This window comes from Homo sapiens, chromosome 5 (assembly GCF_000001405.40).
Source record: "Homo sapiens chromosome 5, GRCh38.p14 Primary Assembly".
Lineage (NCBI taxonomy): Eukaryota > Metazoa > Chordata > Mammalia > Primates > Hominidae > Homo > Homo sapiens.
The window spans coordinates 8161483-8167192 of NC_000005.10; the positions used below are offsets into that span (position 1 = coordinate 8161483).

The 5710-nt window shown below is 39.5% G+C and overlaps 2 annotated features.

Annotated features, from left to right (window-relative positions):
• Positions 4256 to 4757: an enhancer, noted in NCBI's record as "H3K4me1 hESC enhancer chr5:8165851-8166352 (GRCh37/hg19 assembly coordinates)". NCBI's record gives its function as "activates a minimal SCP1, AML or CMV promoter by ChIP-STARR-seq in primed H9 embryonic stem cells {active_cell/tissue: H9 hESC(primed)}" and the evidence as "EXISTENCE:reporter gene assay evidence [ECO:0000049][PMID:30033119]".
• Positions 4758 to 5257: an enhancer, noted in NCBI's record as "H3K4me1 hESC enhancer chr5:8166353-8166852 (GRCh37/hg19 assembly coordinates)". NCBI's record gives its function as "activates a minimal SCP1, AML or CMV promoter by ChIP-STARR-seq in primed H9 embryonic stem cells {active_cell/tissue: H9 hESC(primed)}" and the evidence as "EXISTENCE:reporter gene assay evidence [ECO:0000049][PMID:30033119]".

The window sequence follows — 5710 nt, forward strand, 5'->3', positions numbered from 1 at the left end:
TAAAGGAACTAGAAAAGCAAGAGCAAACACATTCAAAAGCTAGCAGAAGTCAAGAAATAACTAAAATCAGAGCAGAACTGAAGGAAATAGAGACACAAAAAACCCTTCAAAAAATTAATGAATCCAGGAGCTGGTTTTTTGAAAGGATCAACGAAATTGATAGACCGCTAGCAAGACTAATAAAGAAAAAAAGAGAGAAGAATCAAATAGACGCAATAAAAAATGACAAAGGGGATATCACCACCGATCCCACAGAAATACAAACTACCATCAGAGAATACTACAAACACCTCTACGCAAATAAACTAGAAAATCTAGAAGATATGGATAAATTCCTTGACACATACACTCTCCCAAGACTAAACCAGGAAGAAGTTGAATCTCTGAATAGACCAATAACAGGATTTGAAATTGTGGCAATAATCAATAGCTTACCAACCAAAAAGAGTCCAGGACCAGATGGATTCACAGCCGAATTCTACCAGAGGTACAGGGAGGAACTGGTACCATTCCTTCTGAAACTATTCCAGTCAATAGAAAAAGAGGGAATCCTCCCTAACTCATTTTATGAGGCCAACATCATTCTGATACCAAAGCCAGGCAGAGACACAACCAAAAAAGAGAATTTTAGACCAATATCCTTGATGAACATTGATGCAAAAATCCTCAATAAAATACTGGCAAACCGAATCCAGAAGCACATCAAAAAGCTTATCCACCATGATCAAGTGGGCTTCATCCCAGGGATGCAAGGCTGGTTCAATATACGCAAATCAATAAATGTAATCCAGCATATAAACAGAGACAAAGACAAAAACCACATGATTATCTCAATAGATGCAGAAAAGGCCTTTGACAAAATTCAACAACCCTTCATGCTAAAAACTCTCAATAAATTAGGTATTGATGGGACATATTTCAAAATGATAAGAGCTATCTATGACAAACCCACAGCCAATATCATACTGAATGGGCAAAAACTGGAAGCATTCCCTTTGAAAACTGGCACAAGATAGGGATGACCTCTCTCACCACTCCTATTCAACATAGTGTTGGAAGTTCTGGCCAGGGCAATTAGGCAGGAGAAGGAAATAAAGGGTATTCAAATAGGAAAAGAGGAAGTCAAATTGTCCCTGTTTGCAGATCACATGATTGTATATCTAGAAAACCCCATTGTCTCAGCCCAAAATCTCCTTAAGCTGATAAGCAACTTCAGCAAAGTCGCAGGATACAAAATCAATGTGCAAAAATCACAAGCATTCCTATACACCAACAACAGACAAACAGAGAGCCAAATCATGAGTGAACTCCCATTCACAATTGCTTCAAAGAGAATAAAATACCTAGGAATCCAACTTACAAGGGATGTGAATGACCTCTTCAAGGAGAACTACAAACCACTGCTCAAGGAAATAAAAGAGGATACAAACAAATGGAAGAACATTCCATGCTCATGGGTAGGAAGAATCAATATCGTGAAAATGGCCATACTGCCCAAGGTAATTTACAGATTCAATGCCATCCCCATCAAGCTACCAATGCCTTTCTACACAGAATTGGAAAAAACTACTTTAAAGTTCATATGGAACCAAAAAAGAGCCCACATCACCAAGTCAATCCTAAGCCAAAAGAACAAAGCTGGAGGCATCATGCTACCTGACTTCAAACTATACTACAAGGCTACAGTAACTAAAACAGCATGGTACTGGTACCAAAACAGAGATATAGATCAATGGAACAGAACAGAGCCCTCAGAAACAATGCCGCATATCTCCAACTATCTGATCTTTGACAAACCTGAGAAAAACAAGCAATGGGGAAAGGATTCCCTATTTAATAAATGGTGCTGGGAAAACTGGCTAGCCATATGTAGAAAGCTGAAACTGGATCCCTTCCTTACACCTTATACAAAAATCAATTAAAGATGGATTAAAGGCTTACATGTTAGACCTAAAACCATAAAAACCCTAGAAGAAAACCTAGGCATTACCATTCAGGACATAGGCATGGGCAAGGACTTCATGTCTAAAACACCAAAAGCAACGGCAACAAAAGCCAAAATTGACAAATGGGATCTAATTAAACTAAAGAGCTTCTGCACAGCAAAAGAAACTACCATCAGAGTGAACAGGCAACCTACAAAGTGGGAGAAAATTTTCGCAACCTACTCATCTGACAAAGGGCTAATATCCAGAATCTACAATGAACTCAAACAAATTTACAGGAAAAAAACAAACAACCCCATCAAAAAGTGGGCAAAGGACATGAACAGACATTTCTCAAAAGAAGACATTTATGCAGCCAAAAAACACATGAAAAAATGCTCACCACCACTGGCCATCAGAGAAATGCAAATCAAAACCACAATGAGATACCATCTCACACCAGTTAGAATGGCAATCATTAAAAAGTCAGGAAACAACAGGTGCTGGAGAGGATGTGGAGAAATAGGAACACTTTTACACTGTTGGTGGGACTGTAAACTAGTTCAACCATTGTGGAAGTCAGTGTGGCGATTCCTCAGGGATCTAGAACTAGAAATACCATTTGACCCAGCCATCCCATTACTGGGTATATACCCAAAGGACTATAAATCATGCTGCTATAAAGACACATGCACACGTATATTTATTGCGGCACTATTCACAATAGCAAAGACTTGGAACCAACCCAAATGTCCAACAATGATAGACTGGATTAAGAAAATGTGGCACATATACACCATGGAATACTATGCAGCCATAAAAAAATGATGAGTTCATGTCCTTTGTAGGGACATGGATGAAATTGGAAACCATCATTCTCAGTAAACTATTGCAAGAACAAAAAACCAAACACCACATATTCTCACTCATAGGTGGGAATTGAACAATGAGATCACATGGACACAGGAAGGGGAACATCACACTCTGGGGACTGTTGTGGGGTGGTGGGAGGGGGGAGGGATAACATTGGGAGATATACCTAATGCTAGATGATGAATTAGTGGGTGCAGCACACCAGCATGGCACATGTATACGTATGTAACTAACCTGCACAATGGGCACATGTACCCTGAAACTTAAAGTATAATAATAAATAAATAAATAAATAAATAAAAAATTAAAAAGAAACTCTTGGATATTTATTTGACATGTAAATGTTTGAATTGGAAACTACAAATTAATACTGATATGTGTGTTTGATTATGTCATCATGTCATTAGCTGGTTACTATGCAGAGTTGATTGTGCAGTTGTTTTATAATATCAATGCTTTATGTACTTCAGTGTTTTTGTGGTAACTGGTAATGGTCTTTCCTTTCTATATTTAGCACTCCCTTAAGGACTTCTTGTAAGACAGGTCTAGTGATAATTAACTCTCTTAGCATTTGCTTTTCTGAAAAGGATCTTATTTCTCCTTCACCTGTGAAGATTACTTTGACTGGATATGAAATTCTTGGTTGGAATTTCTTTTCTTCAAGAATGCTGGATATAGGCCGTTAATCTCTTCTGGTTAGTAGAGTTTCTGCTGAAAGATCCATCATTAACCTGATGAGGTTCCCTTTGTAGGTGACCTTTTCTCTGTAGCTGCCTTTAACATTTTTTCTTTCATTTCAACCTTGGAAGATCTGAAGACTATGTGTTTTGGAGATGGTCATCATGTATAGTATTATGCAAGAATTTTCTGCATTTCCTGAATTTGAATGTTGGCCTCTCACAGGCTTGGGACAATTTTCATGGATGAAATCCTGAAATATGTTTTTTGCTTACTTTCTCCCCATCTCTTTCAAAGAGTTGTAGATTTGGTCTCTTTACATGATCCCATGTTTCTTGGAGGTTTTATTCATTATTTTTTATTTGTTTTCCTTTTTTCTCCATCTGATTGAGTTATTTCAAAGACCATGTCTTCAAACTCTGAGATTCTTTCCTCAGTTTGGTCAATTCTGCTGTCATTACCTGTGATTATACTATAAAATTCTTGAAGTGAATTTTTCAGCTCAGTCAGATCACTTTGATTCTTTCTTAAAATGGCCATTTCATCTTTTACCTCCTGTGTCATTTTACTGTATTCTTTAGATTGGGTTTCAACCTTCTCTTGAACGTTGATGATCTTTGTTTCTATCCATATTCTGAATTCTACTTCTGACATTTCAGCCATTTCAACCTGTTTAAGAACCATGGCTGGGGAGCTAGTGTGGTGATTTGGAGGCAAGAAGACACAGTGACTTTCTGAGTTGCCAGAGTTTCTGCACTAGTTCTTTCTCATCTGTGTGGGTGACTGTTCCTTTCATCTTTGGAGTTACTGTCCTTTGGAGGGATTTTTTTGCTTTTAGTTTATTTGATGCCCTTGAGGATTTTATTGTGGTATAAAGCGGGTTCAGTCAACTGCTTTGTTTCTCAAAGATTTTAGGGGCCAAGGTTCAACTCAGCACTCCTGGACTGTATGTTGTAACACTAGGGAGCTGGTACTGGGCCCCTGGCTTTGTTCTCCAGCCCAGTTGAGAGTAGCAACCTGCTGCCCTGGAGGGTCTGAGGTGTTCCTGGTCCACTGGCCATAAGACTCTGATAGGTGGTGTTGGACAAAGCATTTATTTGGGGCAGTGACAGTGGAACCATTGCTTGTTCATGTGTGCTGGCAGCTGTGGCAGTGCAGTGGGTTGGATGCATGTCAGCTGGGGTTCTGTACTGGTGGGAGTCGGGCTCTGGTGTCCATGAATGCGCTCATGTCCGTGCTGGTGGCAGCAGCATGGTGTGTTCCAGGTGCTGGCAAAGGCCAAGCCAAGCTGCTGGCCTCTGTGCCTGTGTTCACCTCAGCAGTAGAGATGTCATGGGGTTGGGGGCAGGGCTGCAGGAGTCTGTGTATGCGCTTGTGCTGGGAATGGCAGCATGGCCAGGTGCTCATGCATCACCAGGGTGTTGGGGCAAAAGAGTGTGCCCATGCTGGCAGCAGTAATTTAGTAGTGTGCATGTACACACACATGCTGTCAGGTGAGATGAAGTGAGGTTTGCCCACACGTGGGCCAGCAAAGTTGTGGGGGTTAGTTATGGGCAAGTGTGCCAACAAAGTGGCATGGGGAGCCTGAGGTAAAGGTAAAGTGCAGATAGGCTGATTTGCAATGGTGGGGGCCACTCTGCTGGAGGTCTCTGACATTCTGTAGTCTGCTGGAGAAGAATCTGTGATAAGGGACATGGGTTCCCGATGTCCCTGTCTCTCAGTGGCAGATATTCCTCCTGGCTTTGTCTAGTCAGTCATCTTGGTTCCAATCTGAATATCTTTTTATATGCTAATTTGCCATCTGTATATATTTACTGAAGTGTCTGTTCAGATCTTTGCCCATCTTTAAATTATGTTGTGATACTATTGTTCTAAGTGTTCTTTCTATGTTTTGGATATCACTCATTTATCAGAAATATGTTTTGCAATATTTTATCCCAGTCTGTGGCTTCTCTTTTCACTCTCTTACCAGTGTCCTTTGCAGGACAAAAGTTTTTAATTTTAATAAAATCCAACATATTTTTTGTTTTATGAACTTTGCTTTAGTGTTGTTGTATTTAGCTACTCAAGAAATTTAAGGTCATATTAATTTTCTCTTATGTTTCCTTTTAGAAAGTATAGTTATGCATCTTACTTTAGAACTATGTTCTATTTTGAGAAAATATTTTTGTGAAAGTCGCAAGGTCTTTGTCCAGATTTATTTTTTCTTAAATATAAACATCTGGCTTTTTGCA